Source organism: Homo sapiens, chromosome 19 (genome assembly GCF_000001405.40).
Source record: "Homo sapiens chromosome 19, GRCh38.p14 Primary Assembly".
NCBI classification, from domain to species: domain Eukaryota; kingdom Metazoa; phylum Chordata; class Mammalia; order Primates; family Hominidae; genus Homo; species Homo sapiens.
Window position 1 is genome coordinate 54,330,010 of NC_000019.10, and position 20,664 is coordinate 54,350,673.

General features: G+C 50.4%; 1 protein-coding gene across 1 annotated transcript, besides 1 other annotated feature; it reads right to left on the bottom strand.

Moving 5' to 3' along the window:
• Positions 1–3,175: 3,175 nt before the first annotated feature.
• On the bottom strand, positions 3,176–9,153 carry LILRA4 (leukocyte immunoglobulin like receptor A4). Its single transcript, NM_012276.5, has 8 exons — positions 9,051–9,153; positions 8,857–8,892; positions 8,387–8,671; positions 7,927–8,226; positions 7,391–7,687; positions 6,832–7,134; positions 3,906–3,956; positions 3,176–3,756 (listed from the first exon to the last, which is right to left on the bottom strand). The coding sequence occupies exons 1-8, from the start codon at positions 9,082–9,084 to the stop codon at positions 3,563–3,565; spliced, it is 1,500 nt and encodes a 499-aa protein (NP_036408.4). The 5' UTR covers positions 9,085–9,153; the 3' UTR covers positions 3,176–3,562.
• Positions 6,135–6,335: a silencer, noted in NCBI's record as "peak3554 fragment used in MPRA reporter construct". NCBI's record gives its function as "represses an SCP1 promoter by STARR-seq MPRAs in K562 erythroleukemia cells {active_cell/tissue: K562}" and the evidence as "EXISTENCE:reporter gene assay evidence [ECO:0000049][PMID:32103011]".
• Positions 9,154–20,664: the final 11,511 nt, after the last annotated feature.

Below are 20,664 nucleotides of genomic sequence, written 5' to 3' on the forward strand. Positions count from 1 at the left end.
GGTAAAGATGGGACTTCCTCACCTGAGAACAGGAGCTTCAGGGAGTTGCTGAGGTCCGACCACACCTGAAGGGTGTTCTGACTTCCTCACCTGAGAACAGGAGCTTCAGGGAGTCGCTGAGTTCCGACCACACCTGAAGGGTGTTCCTGTTATTGCCATGACATCTGAACATCCATCTGTGGCTGAGGGTCTTGGGGCCCACAGGAAACAGAGCTTGGGACTGTCCACTAGGGTGTTGCTGAGAGTCTAGGGTGCAGGAGAGACTGAGTTCTCCTTCCTCGGTCAGAATGAATCTGTCCAGTTGCAGCCATGAGCCACGCTGGAGAGTCCTCTCCTAAAGTTGCAACAGGCTCAGGGGGGCTGAGAAGGTAGATTTTCTGTAGAATCCTAGGAGAGAAGGAGGTAGTGTGATCCTTGAGGCTCAAGCCTCCCACCTTATCCCTTAGGGCTGGGCTGTGAGGGAGAGACACCCCTGAGAGCAGACCCCTTTCCTGAGGGCAGAGCCTGGGGCTGGGACCCCAAGGTGTCCTCCCACCTATCACCACCAGCTCCAGGGAGTCAGTGAGCTCTGGGGCTGAAATAGTGACAGTAATATCATCCTACATATTCATTTGTCATGGATATGATGGGGGAACTCGGCCTTGTCTCCAGGCTGCAGTGGGCTCTGTCTGTCCCAGGACACTGAGCTTCCCTCTTTTTTTTTTTTTTTTCTTTTTTTTTTTGAGACGGAGTCTTGCTCTGTCACCCAGGCTGCAGTGCAGCGGCGTGATCTGGGCTCACTGCAAGCTCCGCCTCCTGGGTTCACGCCATTCTCCTGCCACAGCCTCCCGAGTAGCTGGGACTACAGGCGCCCACCACCACACCCACCTAATTTTTTGTATTTTTAGTAGAGACAGGGTTTCACCATGTTAGCCAGGATGGTCTCGATCTCCTGACCTCATGATCTGCCCGTCTCAGCCTCCCAAAGTGCTGGGATTACAGGCATGAGCCACCACGCCCAGCCCCCTCTTTTTTTTTTAGTTGGAGTCTTGCTCTGTCACCAGGCTGGAGTGTAGTGGCACAGTCTCAGCTCACTGCAAGCTCCGCCTCCCGGGTTCAAGTGATTCTCCCACCTCAGCCTCCCAAGTAGCTGGGACTACAGGTGCACACCACCACGCCCAGCTAATTTTTGTATTTTTAGTAGAGACGGGGTTTCACCATGTTGGCCAGGATGGTCTCGATCTCTTGACCTCATGATCTGCCTGCCTTGGCCTCTCAAAGTGCTGGGATTACAGGCATGAGCCACCGCGACCGGCCCTGGGCTTCCCTCTTTATCCAATCGGTACTCCTGGGCCTCCAGGTTCCCCTGACACCAGAGGGTCACAGGCCTCTCCCAGGTGATCACAGAGCCTGTCTCAGCCCATGGGGAGGGTTTGGGGAAGGGCCCTGAAATGGAACCAGAGGCTGGGTCCCAAGATCTCTTTCACTCCTGGTTCTCTAGTTTAGTCCAAAACCCCTCTCTGTTTTATCACCCTCAGCCCAGAACAACTGTGCCCCCCAACCTGAGAGCCCAGGGGCTGGAGTAAGAGGGAGGCTCGTGGAGAACCTGGTAGCCCCTTCTCCCTCCATCACTGACTGAGGCAGAGAAGCACGAACACCGTGATGCCTGCTCTGGGGGCTCCAGCTGTGGGAGAGGAGACCACAGGGCCCTCCAGGACAGACAGACACACGGATGTGGTCACTCAGAGCCTGCTGCTGCCCGTCCAGGTACCCACAGCTGTGGACCCACAGGAAGGGAAACTGCTTTTCCCTGGGCCTGGCTCTGGTTTTCCCTGGGTGGGGGAGCTCAGGAGGACCCCAGACTCTCTGGACACATGAGCCTCTGCTCCCCTCCCCTGCCCCAGGTCACCGTCTCTGCTGCAGGTGGGACAGGACAGGCCCCTGTGGAATCGGGTCTGGGAGTTTCCCTGGGAGGCCTCCTCTCCCAGGAGGTCACAGCTGGGAGTCAGAGCTGAAAGGAACTTTCCCACCCGCAGGCCTCTCTCCTTTACACTTGGAGAAACTGAGGCCCAGGCAGAGGAGGGGCCTGTCCACATCACCACCTCCAGAGGAGCCTCAAACCGATGACAGAACCCACCCCTGCCTCCCCTGGACCCCGCCCACCTCCCACTCAAAGCCCCTCACTTAGCACTGTGGGGGCCTGACGTTGTGGGGGTGAGGGGCTGGTCCTTAGGGCCTGCTGGGTCAGGATGGGGAGGTGAGGGCTGGGGCTGCCCTGCTCCCCACGTCAGCCCGGCTGCTCCTCCCCCAGGCTGGGCCCCAACATCTCCCTCTGCCTCGACCCCCGCCCCTCACCAGCCCAGCCTCAGAGCCCCGGGGAGCCTGTGGCCCCTCCTCTGGCTCTGCCTCAGCTCCCTGGAGGGAAGCTCGTGCTTGAGTCCTTGAGGGGAATGGGATCATCTGGGAGACTCAGGACTGCCCTGGGGGAGGCCACCCTCCCTCTGAGCCCAGAGGCCTCAATGACTCACCAGGTATGGAGAAGGAGCCTATGGGTGGAGGGCTGGGGCCCCTGGAGGGTCCTGGGAAGGAGCACAGAAAGGGAGTGAGGAATTGGAGCTATCCTGGAGTCCCCACCTCCACTCAAAGCTCTCCTCTCCATCTGCCCAGTGGCCTCTCCAAGACCCTCCCTCTTCCCACCTAGCACCTTCTGGACTCCAGGTGAAGGAGAAGAGGGAGAACTCCTGTTGGCTTCTTCTCCTCTGAGGGGTGAATTCCTCTGTGGCTGAGTCTCCCTCAGAGCCCCCTTCACTCCATCTCTGCCCAGAGCTCTCCTGGGGGCAGGGCCTGAGCTGAGTCTTTGAACTTAGAGAGGACAGGGTCAGGGCCTTTCACCCAAGACCACCAGCTCCGACTGCGGTGTGATAGCAGGTAGGGGGAGGTGCAGTCATGTGAGAATCTTGAAGGTGCCCATGAAGGGAGTGTTTATACCACAGTCATCAACAAATTCCACAAATAAATGCTTTTTAGAAAACTTTTTTGTTGTTGTTCAGGAAGCCAGTCTATGCGCACAACAGCAGGCTTTTCCATCAAACACTTCTCTTTTGATTCCTAGTGACTGTATCTCTGGAGAAACTACAGATGAAGAGTGACAGGTGGTACAGCATCACTTTGAACTTAAATTTTCCAAACACGAATCTGATTTTTGCCCATGGATTTAATTATCAAAAGCAAATTCCATGTTATGAGCTGAAGAGATAGTCCCAGTAATACACATTAGAAAATGCAGTAGTTAGAAATAAAGAAAGGTGTATTACCTGAAAGTGGAGCAGAGCATGAGGTCACAGAGGGGCGGACCCAAACCCACCATAGGGGTGAAGCCTTACATCATAGGGAAGAAAAACGAAGGAAGGGGCAGTCAAGGAGAGTCGACAATGAGGAGGAAAGCACCACAGTTTAATGGAGGAAGCATCTTCTACAGACACCCAGACATCTTCCTGCACCTGACCCATGCTTCTTCCCCTTGATATTCTCAGCAGACACTTCCCCAACTGCTGCCCCAGTCTTCCAGAACCTCCTCAGATCATCAGATCTGTTCCCAAGGCTCCACCACTCTGAAGGGTGCATTGTCCTTTCTGCTGTTTGCCTCCTGGCTGCACCTTGGGGGGCTTCTCTGGCTGTGCTGAGCCTCAAATAACAGAATCCCGAGGAACAGCAGGACCAAGCCAGCCACACCCATGCGGATGAGATTCTCCACTGTGTAATCCTGGAGGTGTGGGGCTAGGGATGGTGGACAAAGAGGTCACAGAGGTCAGGGCAGATCACAATTACCAAAGACCCCTGGATGTCCACCCAGGGTACCCACCTCCCCTTGACAGGACCTGACCCTCTGTGCCCAGCCCCATAACTGGGAGAATCTCCTCACTCACCAGTCTTGGAATCTGACTTCTTTTGTGCTGGATTGAGGGTCTCAGTTGCTCCTAAGAATCAAAGAATAAGGATGTTGGTGAGAAGCTGAAGAGCCTCTCCCCTGGGCAATGCATTCTTATATTCCTCCACCTCTCATGGTGTGACTTTATGTAGATCCTTAGTGAACACATTCTCTGCTCTCACAGGCCTCCCCTGGTACGTCATTGGGTTTTTCAACCTCTCTGTGCTCTGGGAATTCAGATCTTGTGCCTGAGTCACTTTGAAACAAAGTTTACTTGAGCCCAGGAGCTCAGGATTAGTAAGAAGAATGATCCCCCAACTAGAAAGAATTGAGCTCTTGTGTGCTGTCTTGGATGTGCAATCTTGTGCAACAAGAACACAACAACTAATTCCCCCAGAGACAGAAATTTCCATTTTTCAGTGGATGAGGACCCAGTCTCTGTGGATGAGGAGTTGGTCCTCAGTCACTCTTGGAAGTCAGGAGCACAAGCAAGGGCTGGAGGCTGCAACGGCCCCCACTGTGTGCGCCTCAGACAGCTCCCCTGTGGTTTCATCATCCATTTAATGTCTTGTTAACTAATTCTTCATATAGTTAGGAAACCTACAATGTGATATGCTTAAATATGAAAATGTATTCTTTTCTAAATGATAATGACTAAGTGGGACAGAAAAACATCATTTCTGCTTTTTTGAAGTATGAACCTAGATTGGAAGGTGAAAAGCAAATATTTAAAAACATACCCGAACTTAAAGTAAAATAAAAAATAAAGGCCAGGCGCGGTGGTTCACGCCTGTAATCCCAGCACTTTGGGAGGCTGAGGCGGGCGGATCACAAGGTCAGGAGACTGAGACCATCCTGGCTAACACGGTGAAACCCCATCTCTACTAAAAATACAAAAAAAAAAAAAAATTAGCCTGGCATGGTGGTGGGCTCCTGTAGTCCCAGCTACTTGAGAGGATGAGGCAGGAGAATGGCGTGAACCCCAGAGGCGGAGCTTGCAGTGAGCCGAGATCGCACCACTGCACTCCAGCCTGGGCGACAGAGTGAGACTCCGTCTCAAAAAAAATAAAATAAAATAAAATAATAATAAAAAATAAAAACAAATAAATATTTAAAAATCTGATGAAAAATATTAAGCACAGGATTGAATACTTGAATATATGTTTGTGTCTATATATGTACATAGCACATATATTCATATAAAATATATGTGATTAACATGGTTTATAAAATATATGTGATTAACATGCTTTGCATTTGTGTCTCTCTCAAATCTCATGTTGAATTGTAATCCCCAATGTTGGAGGAGAGGCCCAGTGGGAGGTGATTGGCTTCCCCCTGGCTGCTCTCATGATAGTGAGTTGTCACGAGATCTTGTTATTTAAAAGTGGGTAGCACCTCCCCCTTCTCTGTCTTCCTCCTATTCCAGCCATAGAAGAAGTTCCTGCTTTCCCTCCGCCTTCTGCCATGATTGTAAGTTTCCCGAGGCCTCCCCAGCCAGGCTTCCTGTATGGCCTGTGGAACCGTGAGTTAATTAAACCTCTTTCCTTTATAAATTACCCAGTCTCAGGTAGGTTTTTGTTTGTTTGTTTGTTTGTTTTTGAGACGGAGTCTTGCTCTGTCCCCCAGGCTGGAGTGCAGTGGTGCGATCTCAGCTCACTGCAGCCTCTGCCTCTGGGTTCCAGCGATTCTCCTGCCTCAGCCTCCAAGGCAGTTGGGATTCAGGTACCCGCCACCATGCCCAGCTAATTTTTGTATTTTTAGTAGAGATAGGGTTTCGCCATGTTGGCCAGGCTGGTCTTTCATTCCTGACCTCAGGTGATCGGCCCACCTCGGCCTCCCAAAGTGCTGGGATTACAGGCGTGAGCCATCGTGCCCGGCCTCAGGTAGTTCTTTACAGCAGTGTGAGAACAGATGAATACAATGATTATAGATACATATGTATACGTGGCTTTAGATATTTGTTTTTAAAGTATATATGTAACTACGTATATATTCATATTTGAGATGAGAAAGATGGGCTTACAATTTGGAAATATAAACGTGAAATTTCCAATTTTTTATGGCTGATATAAACATCAGCCCCAGCATCTTCCCCTTGTCCATGTCAGGCCTGGACCCCCGGACCCCAAATCCCGCTCAGGTAGGGGAGGACAGACCTGACTCCTCCACCTATCATTGCTGCTCCCTTCTTCCTGCCTGGTTCTAGGACACCTCCCTCCCCTCTGACCACCACAGAGGGAACACCTGCTCCATCCTCAGAGCCCCAGGAAGCCACGTGGACCACGCCCTTATTGTCCACTCTCCCCTCTGTTCCTCTGAGGAACAGACCCCTTTCCTGAATATTGGAGATAAGGTTGAGATGAGTCTAGAATATTATACTGGGTCAGAGTAACTGCGCTTTCATCTCCCACGGGGTCAGGACTTAGAGGCTGGGGACACCCAGATGTTGATTCTGAGATGGAGACATCAGGAAGGGAGCAGGTGGGGCCTCCGTCTTCCACCCTCAGTCTAATCTCATCTCCTCCAAGGCTCACCCCCACCTGCTTGCAGCCCTCTCCACTCTTTACCCTACTGAGACTTCAGGGGTGGGAGCCCAGGGTGGGAAGTCCTCATCTATTTCCACACTCCCATAGGCTGGACCTTCCCCTCGGTGGGAGGTTCCCATGTATTTCCACCCTTCCATGGGCTGGGCCCTCCCCTGTGGACCCTCCCCCTTCACTGTCCTGTTTTCTTAGTGTCCTGAACTCTCCTGGGGGCAGGGCCTGAGCTGAGAGAGGCTCAGGGCTCACAAAGGCCGGGGCTGATGGAGGAAGAAGTGGGGCAGCAAGTGAGACAGACAGACGGACACTCTCTTGGAAGCTCTCCTTTTTCATTTCCAAGAACCCCTTTGAGCTCAGAGTGGACAGGGTCAGCGCCCTCACCTGAGACCACGAGCTCCAGGGGCTCACTGGGGTGAGACAGCAGGTAGGGGTTGGAGCTGCGTGAGCCGTAGCACCTGTAGGTCCCCGCGTGGGCTGAGGTCACAGGACTCATGGGGAATTCAGCCTGGTACTTATGAGCTCCGTACATTGATCTCAGACGCAACGGGGGATGGGCTGCCCCCTCCTTGGTCAGAAGGAAAGTGAACATCGGGTCCCATGACTGACACAGCAGGGTCACCTTCTCTCCTGAGGTCACCGTGGGGCCCGGCTGCACTGAGAGGGAGGGTCTGTCAGAGATCTGTCCTGGAGAAAAGAAGGACGGGTGAGGGGCTGCCCCACCTTGTTCTGAGCTGAGACCTCCCCACCAGTCCTCTCCCTGGGACCCTCAGTCTGTCCCTGTTTTCTCTGAGTCTCCCCCTCCCCGCCCATCCCCTGTCTCTGTCTGTCTCTCCCTCCCTTAGGACCCCCACCCCTCATCCCGGCCATCACCACCTGGGCTCCCCCAGCAGGGCCTGTGCAGAGCCTGGGTCCCCCTGACTGAACCCGCTGGGCTCCTCACCTGCGATCAGGATATCCAGGGGGTCACTGGGGGCCGACCACTCGGAGGAGACGTTGTGTGCGCCGTAGCATCTGTACTGGCCCCCGTAGGAGCGGCTCACAGGGCTCAGGGTGAAGTTGGCCTGGGAGAGCCCAGCCTGGGGCTGCCGGCCAGGGCGCTGGGGGAGGCCATCGGCCCCCTCCTTGTACAGAGTGTATCTGATGTAGCCGACATCAGAGCCACACTGGAGGGTCAGATTCTCTCCGGGGGTCACGACAGGGCCCTGCAGGGTCAGGAGGGAGGGCTTCCTAGACACGCCTGGAGGGAAAGATGAGTTGGGACTCGGAGCGGCTGGTTCCTCCTGCGCCCCTTCCTTCTGTAGCCTTCCTCACTAGGGTTTCCAGCGTCCTTGTTTTTTTCTCATTCTGTATTTGTGTCCCCAGGGCCCCCATCTTCCCCTCATCTTTTCTTCTTGCGTGGGCTAGCCCGAGGGTAAGGCTCCCAACAGCTCACCTGGTGCCCTGACTTTGTATAAGGAAAAGCTACGGCTTCCTCACCTGACACCAGTAGCTGCAGGGGGTCACTGGGTTCCGACCACACGTATGGGGTGTTGTTTTCATAGCCGTAGCATCTGAATGTACCCCTGTTGCTGAAGGTCAGGGGGCCCATGGGGAACAGGGCCTGGAACTTTCCATGGTTGTGTTGGTGTGAGTTCAGGGTCCAGGAGAGCCTGTGGTCTCCTTCCTCAATCAGAGTGAACCTGCCCAGTCCCAGCCGTGAGGCACACCGGAGGGTCACGTTCACTCCTGAGGTCACCACAGGGCTTGGCAGTGCGGACAGGGTGGGTCTGCTGTAGGCTTTCAAGAGAAAAAAAGGCAGCCGTGTTTAAATGGGGCTCACACCTCCCACCTTATCCTACAAGGCTGGGCTGTGAGAAGGGAGACCCCTCGAGAGCTGAGAGCCGACCCCCTTCCCGAGGGCAGAGCCTGGGGCTGGGACCCCTGAGTGTCCTCTCACCTGTCACCACCAGCTCCAGGGGGTCGCTGGGCTCTGACCAGCCTGCAGGGCTCTGATAGTAACAGTGATATCGCCCTGCATGTTCCCACATCATGGATGGGATGGAGAGTTTGACCTTGTTTTCAGACTCCAGTGTTTTTAATATGTGCCTCGACATTGAGTTTCCCTCTTTATCCAGACGGTACCCCTGGGCCTCCAGGGTGCCCTGACACCAGATGGTCACGGGGTTATGCCAGGTGATCACGGGACCTGGCTCGGCCCACAGGATGGGTTTGAGTAGGTTTTCTGGAAGGAAATTACAGGTTAGGTCCCAAGATGTCCTCAACCCTCAGATCCCAGCTCTCAGCCCCAGGACCCCCCTCATCCCCATCAGTCAGCCCAGAACTGCTGTCTTCACCCCCAGCTGCCCAGGGGTGGTCCCTTGTCCCCAGAGAGGAGGAGGGACCTAGGACAGCTGGGGACAGACTCACCTGCCTGCACCCGGGTCCTGGGGCCCAGGCTCAGCCCTGGAAGAGAGTTCCCTGTGAGAGATTTGCCTCCGAAGCCTGAGCAGGTCTTCTTCTTTTCCTTGAGCCCCTGGGATGCCCTAATTGACTAAGGCATGGCTATGGATTGGGGTCTCTCTCCTAGACTAGGGTCTCTCCTCCCCCTCTTAAGATCTCACCAAAGAAGAGCAGGCTTGTGAGAATGAGGGTCATGGCATCTCCTCCTCCTGGCCCTGGCTGTGCAGGCAGGTGTGGCCACGGTGCCCGTAGACACAGACAGACACATGGTGTGCGGGCACACGGAGGCTGGGTCCTCCCCATCACGAGGTTGTCCCATCAGCACACCGACAGAAAGAGGAACTGCCCCTCCCCAGGACCCTGGCTCTCATTTCCCAGGGCTTGTCCTGGGGGTGAGCACCAGGCTCTCTGCCGATATTTCAGACACAAATGGGGATTCACAAGGGGGTCGTTAAGAAGGACATTTTCGGCCGGGCGCTGTGGCTCACAGCTGTCATCCCAGCACTTTGGGAGGCCAAGGTGGGTGGATCACTTGAGGTCAGGAGTTCGAGACCAGCCTGGCCAACATGGCAAAACCCCGTGTCTACTAAAAATACAAAAATGAGCCGGTCGTGGTGGCACATGCCTGTTATCCCAGCTACTCGGGAGGCTAAGGCGGGAGAATCACTTGAACTCCGGAGGCAGAGGCTGCAGTGAGCCGAGATCACGCCATTGCCTTCCAGCCTGGGCAACAAGAACAAAACTCTATCTCAAAAAAAAAAAAAAAAAAGGACGTTTCCATCTCTGTGTGGCACAGAAAAGGAAGTCCAGGGTCCTCACAGACAGGGAGGAACCTAGGGCTCCAGGTGAAAGTGAGACGCTGTGGCTGCCCCTCTTCTGTGTTTGCACATGGGCACTGCCATCTCTCTGCTTCCTTGTGGGAGCCATGAGGGGCAGAAAGAGGAACTGCCCCTCCCCAGGAGCTTGGCTCTCATTTCCCCAGGGCTTGTCCTGGGCGTGAACACCAGGCTCTCTAGAGATATTACAGACAGAAATGGGCTCTCCCCTCACTTTGGCTGCGTCTATCTAATCTGTCCTCATCTCACCAAGGGCCAGGATGTAGCAGCAAACAGACCCGGTGCCTTCTTGATTCAGCCCCTTCCAGGTGAGAGGGACTGATGGTTCCTCCTTCCCTCTCAGAGCCTCCCCATGGAGGAGGCTCCATCTCCCCTGTGTGTGTGTGAAAAACAGGCTGTCTGTGGTATTGTCACACCTGGACATCTGTCCCACACGTGAGTGGGAGGTCACATTGGACTCCGCCTTGCCAGCCACAACTTTGGGCAGATGCTAAGTTTGGAAGAGTTGATGCTCCTGGACAGGAGCAGCTGTAACCACCCGCTCTGGACAGGCCTGATTTCTGAGTCGTCTCTGGGAGAAATGTTCTTTGTAAGATCATGTGCATGGGGGTAGATGGACAGCATGCAGTGTATTTGAGAAGAGATAGACAACTAGAAATTATGTAGGCAGATGTGGCTGTGGTGAAAATAGTAGGTAGAATTAACACACTTAAAAATCAATTCTATGGCCGGGCACGGTGGCTCGCACCTGTAATCCCAGCACTTTGGGAGGCCCAGGCGGGCAGATCACTTGAGGTCAGGAGTTCAAGACCAGCCTGGCCAACATGGTGAAACCCCGTCTCTATACTAAAAATAACAAAAATTAGGCTCATTTTTGAATCCCCTTAAACATTACCAGCCCCTAAATGTCTGCTCTATGGATTCTTCTTTGAATTCAGTATTAACATCTTTCCCGTTCCCTCGTTAATAGTAAGCTAAATAAAAACTTGTGTCCATTTTATCCTTCTAGAAGAGCAATTTTTTTTTACCTTTTTGAAAAAAAAAACTTTACCAAAATATATTTAAGATCAAGAATGCTGGTCATAAGCTGTGAAAATCTATGTCTTGTCTTAATCATTCCATCAGCATAAAAAATGTAGCAATGCATGTGAAGTGTTGGTTCCAGGCAAACCTGCTTAAGACTCAATGTTCAAGGTTGTTATTAGGTGGGGGCCATATAGGCATAATGGTCAGTCACAGGGAAACCAGGGAAAAGCTGCTGTTCATCAGCATTTTTTTTTTTTTACAAACTCATCAACAGTGAGCTACATTGTTTGCGGAAATGGCCTAGTCAAGACACAGTAGAATTCAGTGCTGCAGTCACACAACACCAGCTTATCTCTTAGGAACATAGGGAACATTCCAGGAGCCATGTTTAGGAACTAGATGCCAGCTAAGGACCAACTTTACAAGCAAACTCTCCCAACGTTATCACCCTTGCAGCTGTGAGATTAACTCGTTCTTGCACACCCTGTACCTGAAAAAAATAATAGTCCTCTTGAATGCAGCAGCACCTTGTTCACCCGGAACATGCCTCCGCTCCTCCAGATTCTTCCCGCCCTATCTCAGTTTTTTTCTGCAGATTCTCCAAGGTTCTGCAAACTGTAAGCAGTAAATCCACACTCAACTTGAGTTTTCATGAGGGAAGCCGTCTGGGGCCTTCTCTGGCTGTGCTGAGCCTGAACGAGCATCCCCCAGAGGCCACCGGGATCAACACAGCATGGTCATTGGGATGAGATTCTCCATGGCAGAGGCTGGAGGGGCGTGGTCAGTAGACAGAATGGAGCATTTGCTGAGGGCTAGACTGGCCACACTCACCTCGGAAGCCCTGGATGGGTGTTTACACATCTACACTCTGGAAAGGGGAGTCCCAGTTATTCCTCACTATGGGTCTATACTTGGTGGAGGTTGGTTGAGAGGATCAGGGACTCTGTATGCGTCTGTTCTCACTCTGCTATGAAGAACTACCCAAGACTGGGTAATTTATAAGAAAAGACGTTTAATTGACTCACAGTTCCATATGTCTGGGGAGGCCTCATGAAACTTACAATCATGGTGGAAGGCACCTCTTATTGGGCGGCAGGAGAGAGAATGAGAGTGGAGCGAAGGGGGAAGCCCCTTATAAAACCATTAGATCTCATGAGAACTCACTCATTATCACGAGAACAGTACAGGGGAAACCGCCCCCATGATTCAATAATCTCCACCTGGTCCTGCCCTTGACATGTGGGGATTATTATAATCCAAGGTGGGATTTGGGTGGAGACACAGAACCGAACCATATCAGACACCTATGAATAAGAATGAGGTGGGGCATGAGTAGCCAGACCACCATTGTATCCCCCGACCAGGGCGTATAACCCACCATTGTATCCCCCGACCAGGGCACGTAACCCACCATTGTATCCTCCCCACCTCCAGGGCATGTAACCCACCACTGTATCCCCCCACCAGGGTGTGTAACCCACCATTTTATCCCCCTCAGGGTGTGTAACCCACCATTGTATCCCCCTCCAGGGCCTGTAACCCACTATGCCCTGGCTCCTTCACAACTCTCCTCCCTTCTCATGGGAGAATTGTATGAGATCCTTGCTGACCCCAACTCCCAGCTTGGGCTTAGAACCCTATGGTCCCTTCCTCAAATATGTTCAGGTTCCTGGGCCTTGTTGAAGTCACAGACAACTTCTCAGCTGCAGAGATATTGCGGGTTTGGTTTTACAACAACTCAGGGACAGAGGACAAAAATCTCCAACCTCTGGAATGCTTAACTCTGCTATTCCCTGGTCTCAGATTAGTCCCAAAATTAGTTAAACCTAAGCCTCACGCTTTGACCTCTAGTAATGCGTCAGCTGTCAGTATGGAATCCATAGATCTGCATGTGGGGCTCCTGGTGTCCCAGGGCCAGGAATATGAAGCAGCCAAAGGCTGTGACTGCCTTTTCTTTTCTTTCTTTCTTTCTTTTTTTTTCTGAGATGGAGTCTCGCTCTGTTGCCCAGGCTGGAGTGCAGTGGTGCAATCTCAGCTCACTGCAAGCTCCGCATCCCGGGGTCACGCCATTCTCCTGCCTCAGCCTCCTGAGTAGCTGGGACTACAGGCGCCCGCCACCATGCCTGGCTAATTTTTTGTATTTTTAGTAGAGACGGGGTTTCACCGTGTTAGCCAGGATGGTCTTGATCTCCTGACCTTGTGATCTACCCACCTCTGCCTCCCAAAGTGCTGGGATTACAGGTGTGAGCCACTGTGCCTGGCCTTATTTTTTTTTTGGTCAGGGAGTCTTGCTCTGTCGCCCAGGCTGGAGTGCGGTGGTGCGATCTCAGCTCACTGCAACCTCCGCCTCCCGGGTTCAAGCGATTCTGCTGCCTCAGCCTCCTGAGTAGCTGGGACTACAGGCATGTGCCACCATGCCTGACTAATTTTCTGTATTTTTAGTACAGATGGGACTTCATGTTAGCCAGGATGGTCTCGATCTCCTGACCCCATTATCCGCTTGCCTCGGCCCCCCAAAGTGCTGGGATTACAGGCCTGAGCCCGGCCCCCTTTTCTTTTTTTGTACCTCACTCAGCTCTCTGCATTCTCTGGTTCAACTTAATAGTACTACTAATAACCCAAGTAATAATCTCACTATTCTTCTGTCCATTTATCTGTTTTGTTTTACAATTAATGAGAGAATAGTCATAGATTCCAAGTAACTTTTTCAGGAATAAGAAACACTATAGTGAACAAAACCTCCCATTGTTCATTCAATTTGTAATAGAAATGGAGAAAGTCAGATGAATTAAGCAAAAATACAAAAGAGATGAACTATTATTTAAAAACAACACACAGAGGCATAAATGCACAAAATTTAAGCCACCTAGAGGTCTTGAATGTGTGTTGCCCTTATAAAAAAAAAAAAAAACAGTGCCAGCCTGGCCAACATGGCGAAACCCCATCTCTACTAAAAACACAAAAATTAGTTGGGTCTGGTGGTGTGCACCTGTAATCCCAGCTACTCAGGAGGCTGAGGCAGGAGAATCGCTTGAATCCAGGAGGGAGAGATTGCAGTGAGCCGAGATCTTGCCACTGCACTCCATGCTGGGTGACAGAGGGAGACTCTGTTAAAAAACAAAACAAAAACAAACAAACAAAAAAAAGCAGTGAGTACTAGGGGCAAAGATCACTTAACCCAGTTTGTCATTAAAAAAAATGTTTTTGAGGATGTGACAGGTTAGGTAAAGACTGAACAATGAGCAAGAGGAGGATCCAGAAAGGTAATATTGCCCAACATAGGAGCAGATGATTGCGGTATTTTGATACCAGAAAATGCAGAAATGTTCCTAGTGTGTCTAAAATGTATATGAGAATGAGGAAACGGAAAAAGTGGTACAGAGCTGTATTTCCAGATGTGCAAACAGACGTATGAACATCGACATGTGCAATCAATTGTTAACTGAAAATCAATACAGAAATAAAGTGAGAAATAAAAACACTTATCTGCAATACAGCCATGAGTCTCAGAGCACGGCGTGTGGAGAAATGTACATACACGGGGTGTCTCTGAGAGGAAACAGAATAAAGAGGTACTTGATTGCCTCTGGAGATGGAAATTGAGAAGATGGGAGCAAGGATCACCTCTATGCCCGTTGGTAAATATATGTTTGTGTGTGTGTTTCTTTTTTTTGAGGGAACAAGGATCACCTGTGTGCCCACTGGTAAATATATTTGTGTGTGAGTTTTTTGTTTTGTTTTGTTTTTGTTGTTGTTGTTGTTTGTTTGTTTTTTTAGATGAAGTCTGACTCTTATTGCCCAGGCTGGAGTGCAGTGGTGTAGCGCGATCTTGGCTCACTGCAACCTCTGCCTCCCAGGTTCAAGTGCTTCTCCTGCCTCACCTCCGGAGTAGCTGGGATTACAGGTGCCCGCCACCACGCCCAGCTAATTTTTTGTATTTTTAGTAGAGACGGGGTTTCACTATGTTGGCCAGGCTGGTCTCAAACTCCTGACCTCAGGTGATCCACCCTCTTTGGCTTCCCAAAGTGCTGGGATTACAGGCATGAGTGAGCCCGCACCCGGCCTGTATTTTTTTGTTTGTTTGTTTTTTTTCAGTAGAGATGGGGTTTCACCATGTTATCCAGGCTGGTCTTGAACTCCTGACCTCAGGTGATCTGCCCACCTCGGCCTCCCAAAGTGCTGGGATTACAGGCGTGAGCCACCGTACCTGACCCCAACTTTTTTTTTTAATCAAGTGAGTGAGAAGAGGATTCATCTTTTCTTCAAGCCTCAGAAGTCCAGGTGATGATTCTGGTTAGAAAGAGCTGTCCGTGGTCGGGTGCGGTGGCTCACGCCTGTAATCCCAGCACTTGGGGAGGCCGAGGCAGGTGGATCATGAGGTCAGGAGTTCAAGACCAGCCTGGCCAAGAAGGTGAAACCCCGTCTCTCCTAAAAATATGAAAAGTAGCCAGGCGTGGTGGCGGGCACCTGTAATCCCAGCTTCTGGGGAGGCTGAGGGAGATAATTGCTTGAGCTCAGGAAGCGGAGTTTGCAGTGAGCCGAGATCGCGCCACTGCATTCCAACCTGGGTGACAGAGCGAGACTCTGTCTCAAAAAAAAAAAAAAGAAAGAAAGAAAAAAAAAAAGAAAGAAAGAGCTGTCCGGAGTTAAATTCAGACCAGAGGCTGGGCGCGGTGTCTCGTGCCTGTAATCCCAGCAACTTGGGAGGCCGAGGCGGGCGGATCACAAGGTCAGGGGATCGAGACCATCCTGGCTAACACAGGGAAACCCCGTCTCTACTAAAAATACAAAAAATTAGCCGGGCGTGGTGGCTGGTGCCTGTAGTCCCAGCTACTCGGGAGGCTGAGGTAGGAGAATGGCATGAACCCAGGAGGCAGAGCTTGCAGTGAGCCGAGATCGCGCCACTGCACTCCAGCCTGGGCGACAGAGCAAGACCCCGTCTCAAAAACAAACAAACAAACAAAAAAAAAACCAAAAAAACACACAAAAACAAATCCAGACCAGCAGTGATTTTCCCTAAAATGAGAATCCTGAGATAGGAGCTTCCGTACTCATCACAATTGGAGTCAACTTTCACGCAGACCTCAAGGTGTCCAAGTACTTTCCATATAAGTGTTGCTGCTAAAAATAAAATAATAATAATACAAACTCCAGGCCTCTTGGATTCTAAAAATGGGAGTTGTGTATCTCTTTTTTCTCCAAATTTAGCCTGGCCTCTCATGCTTGAGTTGTCTACAGCAGCTTCCATGAGTTCCCAGTGTGGTTGAAATCATAAATATGCCTTCTCTTTCATTTCCCTTTTTCACATCCCCAAACCCACGTGGTGGTTCAGCTGGGGAGCTATATTTCCTTGGGGAGGAAAGTAGCACAGTGGGTGTCATACCCAGGGGAGATTAACTTTCGGGTCCTGTAGTTGCCCCTACCAGGGTGAGAACCTGGTGCTCATAGAAACCTGCTCAGAAAATCGCTTTCTTGCTTTTGTTCCTTCCTCCACACAATGGCCACAGTTACTGGTGGAGACAAAATGTCTGGAGTGGACTGGAGTCCAAGAAAAGGTACATCGGGCATTTCCTCGCCTAGGAAGTCACTGGCACAGAAGTTCAGAAATGAGCGAGATTTTGAAAACAAGAATAGGCCGGGTGCGGTGTCTCACGCCTGGAATCCCAGCACTTTGGGAGGCCGAGGCAGGCACATCCTCTGAGGTCAGGAGTTCAAGACCAGCCTGGTCAACATGGGAAAACCCTGTCTCTACCAAAAATAAAAAAAAATTAGCCGGGCGTGATGGTGCAGGGCTGTAATCCCAGCTACTCTAGAGGCTGAGATGGCAGATCTCTTGAACCCTGGAGGTGGAGGCTGCAGTGAGCCGAGATCGCGCCACTGCACTCCAGCCTGGTAGACAGAGCAAGACTCCGTCTCAAATAAATAAATAAATAAATAAATAATTAAAACATAAAAAAATAAAAATTTTCTCGGGGAGCTGACTATGAGAAGGCAGAAATATGTTAATATCTCCAGGTGTCTGTCTGGGGTGTGGTGGGTGGGAAAAAGGCGGAAGTGGTTTCCTGTAATGAATTTGCTCTGTAGGAAGGAGCCATGTTTTTTGGCGCTGGGGATGTTAACTTAGTCCTGGTCATCAACAACATGAACATCAGGCAGAGATACTTGTGTCTTACTTGGAGGAAGATTCAGACCCGGAGAAGGATTTTGATCAGGGAAGAGTCAGCTACAGATAAGGTTGGGGCTATGAGAATAATAGATGTCAGCCTGGAGTGAGGGTTTGGAGAAGAGGACCAGGAGGAGGCTGATGTGGTGGCACAGACAGGCTGTCTTCAGTCTCCAGTGAGCTTGCACTGTGGGAATGGACCCGGGGACGTGGGTGAGGAGGGCTCAAGGGTACAACTGCTTGGATTTGTTCACTGTATGTGAAACAAAAGTGAGTGAGCAACTAGGGTCTGTTTCACTCTCTGCCTTAGTTTACTGGAGGAACGAATGGTGTCATCCCAGGATGAATGATCCCGGGGAAGAACCAGGCTAGGGAGATATTTATAAGGCTGTTCACGGAGTGCAGAGGAAGCACTGTCTCCCTCCTGGCCCTGCTGTCTAGTTTTGTTTCTCCCAAGCACTTCTTCCCTCCGACTTTCTTAATTCTATAAGTAGCAGCACCAGAACGCGATCATGTCTGTTGCAGAGATGTGAATGGAGCTGGAGGTCATTATCCTTAGTAAACAAACACAGGAACAGAAAACCAAATACCACATGTTCTCACTTATAAGTGGGAACTCCATCAAATCTCCAAGTCATTTACAACCTCTTCTTCCCCTGTCCATAACTCTTCATTTGATACCGTGAATTCTGTCTCCATGCTTTGGGCCAAAGCATTCACTGGAAGAAATTCCCAAGCTTTGGTTTAAGGCATGAGGGTTCATACTTACTGTCAGTTGACCTTCAGCAGGTGACATCCTCCCCTGCCCCATCCATTTTCCTCGTTGTAGGAAGATGGTAATTAACCCTCCCGTCAAGTTTTTTTGTTTTGTTTTTTGTTTTTTTTTTTCCTGACAGCGTCTCATGCTGTCACCCAGGCTGGAGTGCAATGGCACGATCTCTGCTCACTGCAACCTTGACTTCTTGGGTTCAAGCGATTCTCCTGCCTCAGCCTCCTGGGTAGCTGGGATTACAGGCATGCACCACTGCCAAGCGTGTCCATGTGAAGAGACCAGCAAACAGGCTTTGTATGAGCAATAAAGCTTTTAATTCACCTGGGTGCAGGTGGACTGAGTCTGAGAAAGGAGTCAGCGAAGGGAGATGGGGAAGGGGTTGCTTTATAGGAGTTGGGTAGGTGATGGAAAATTACGGTAAAAGGTGGTCATCTATTGTTGGCAGAGGAGGAGGTCACAAGGTACCTGGTGGGGACATCGTAAGACTTATTATCCAGAAGAAGAATGTCACAAAGTTGATTGATCGGTTAAGGTGGGGCAGGGACAAGTCACAATGGTGGAATGTCGTAATGTTGGTTAATCAGTTAAGGCAGGAACTGGCTGTTTTACTTCTTTTGTGGTTTTTCGGCTGCCCCAGACTTCTTGGCTCCTTCAGGCCATCTGGGTGTATATGTGCAGGTCACAGGGGTTACAATAGCTGAGCTTCAGCTCAGAGGCCTGACAACCACCACACTGGCCAATTTTCTTTTTTTTTAAATTTTTAGTAGAGACAGGGTTTCACCATGTTGGCCAGGCTGGTCTTGGACTCCTGACTTCAGGTGATCTGCTCGCCTTGGCCTCCCAAAGTGCTGGGATTACAGGCGTGAGCCACCATGCCTGACCTAAACCTTTAAAAGTGGATACTTGTGTGAGAGAGAGAAACCATGCAGAAGAGATTAAATAAAATTAGACGGATATAATTGTGTCTTGTTTCTTGTTTTGGTTTAGAAATATAAGTGTATTTTCTTGAATAGATATGATGCAAAAATATTTTTAAATATAACTCATAAACTTAAAGATAAAACCTAAAGAAAAAGAAAATGCGGTAAAACAGGTGGGAGGGGAAGCAGGAAAGGCAGGCACACTCGTGTAACTATGATTGAAAGAAAATCTGTATACAAGTGGACCTGCACAGTTCAAACCTGTGGAGTTCAAAGCTCAACTGTATGTTACTGCAAATGATTATAAGTGCTGTTATAGAAACATTCAAAGACCAGAAAAGGACCACAATGGCTGACCACACATAGCCAGGAAGAGCTTCTCCCACCGAGAGACCAGGCCATCAAGAAGACCAGAATGCTCTGGGCAGATCTTCTGAAAGAGGGCGCTGAGGGTGGATGGAGAGAGGACACAGATCCTGAGGATGGATGGAGGGAGGACACAGATCCTGAGGATGCATGGAGGGAGGACACAGATCCTGAGGATGGATGGAGGGAGGAAACAGATCCTGAGGGTGGATGGATGGATGGAGGACACAGATCCTGAGGGTGGATGGATGGAGGGAGGACACAGATCCTGAGGGTGGATGGAGGGAGGACACAGATCCTGAGGATGGATGAAGGGAGGACACAGATCCTGAGGGTGGATGGAGGGAGGACACAGATCCTGAGGATGCGTGGAGGGAGGACACAGATCCTGAGGATGGATGGAGGGAGGACGTAGATCCTGAGGGTGGATGGAGGGAGGACGCAGATCCTGAGGGTGGATGGATGGAGGACGCAGATCCTGAGGATGGATGGAGGGAGGATGCAGATCCTGAGGGTGGACGGATGGAGGGAGGACACAGATCCTGAGGATGGATGGAGGGAGGACACAGATCCTGAGGATGGATGGAGGGAGGACGCAGATCCTGAGGATGGATGGAGGGAGGACGCAGATCCTGAGGGTGGATGGAGGGAGGACGCAGATCCTGAGGATGGATGGAGGGAGGACGCAGATCCTGAGGATGGATGGAGGGAGGACACAGATCCTGAGGATGCATGGAGGGAGGACACAGATCCTGAGGGTGGATGGAGGGAGGACACAGATCCTGAGGATGGATGGAGGGAGGACACAGATCCTGAGGATGCATGGAGGGAGCACACAGACCCTGAGGGTGGATGGATGGAGGACGCAGATCCTGAGGATGGATGGAGGGAGGACACAGATCCTGAGGATGCATGGAGGGAGGACACCACGCCCGGCTAATTTTTGTCTTTTTAATAGAGATGGGGTTTCACCATGTTGGCCAGGCTGGTCTCAAACTCCTGACCTCGTGATCCGCCCGCCTCAGTCTCCCAAAGTGCTGGGATTACAGGCGTGAGCCACCGCGCCTGGCCGGCTTTCTTAGTCATGTTTAATTTAACGAAAATTTTATAATGATCTGAAATGTAAATGGTTTTTAAAGAATTCAAATTAGGATTCATCAAAAATAGGACTGTCTTTATTGTTGAAAAACATTGTATTTCTTTAATAATGAACAACTTATTAAGTTATGATGTGATTTAACTGGTATGAAAATTTGGGAAATTAGAATCTTGGTAAAGTACAGATTAGTTAAAAGAAAAAGATGCTTTAGAAAAATCAAAGACATTTCCGAAAGAATGTACAATAATCAATAGCAGTTTGGCCCCAGTGTTATAGAGGATGGGGAGAAGGTGGAAGAATGAGAAAATAACACGCATTTCACGTAGTATATGTGCACAAATCTTTTTCTTTTGTTGCGAAGAAAATGTTTTATCACAACAAATGTAATAAATTTAGCAACTTTGTTCTGGAGATCAATCAATAAATCCAAATAGGAGAAGGAGGAGGGGTCTGTAAAAGCAGAAAGCAATTTCAGAAATGAATATATATAGTGTACTAAATAAATTGAGCTGGATGGTAAATAAAGGCAACAAGAAAATATCTGTGAATCCTAGACCAGCTGTGATGATGGCTCTGTATGCCCTTAAATAACG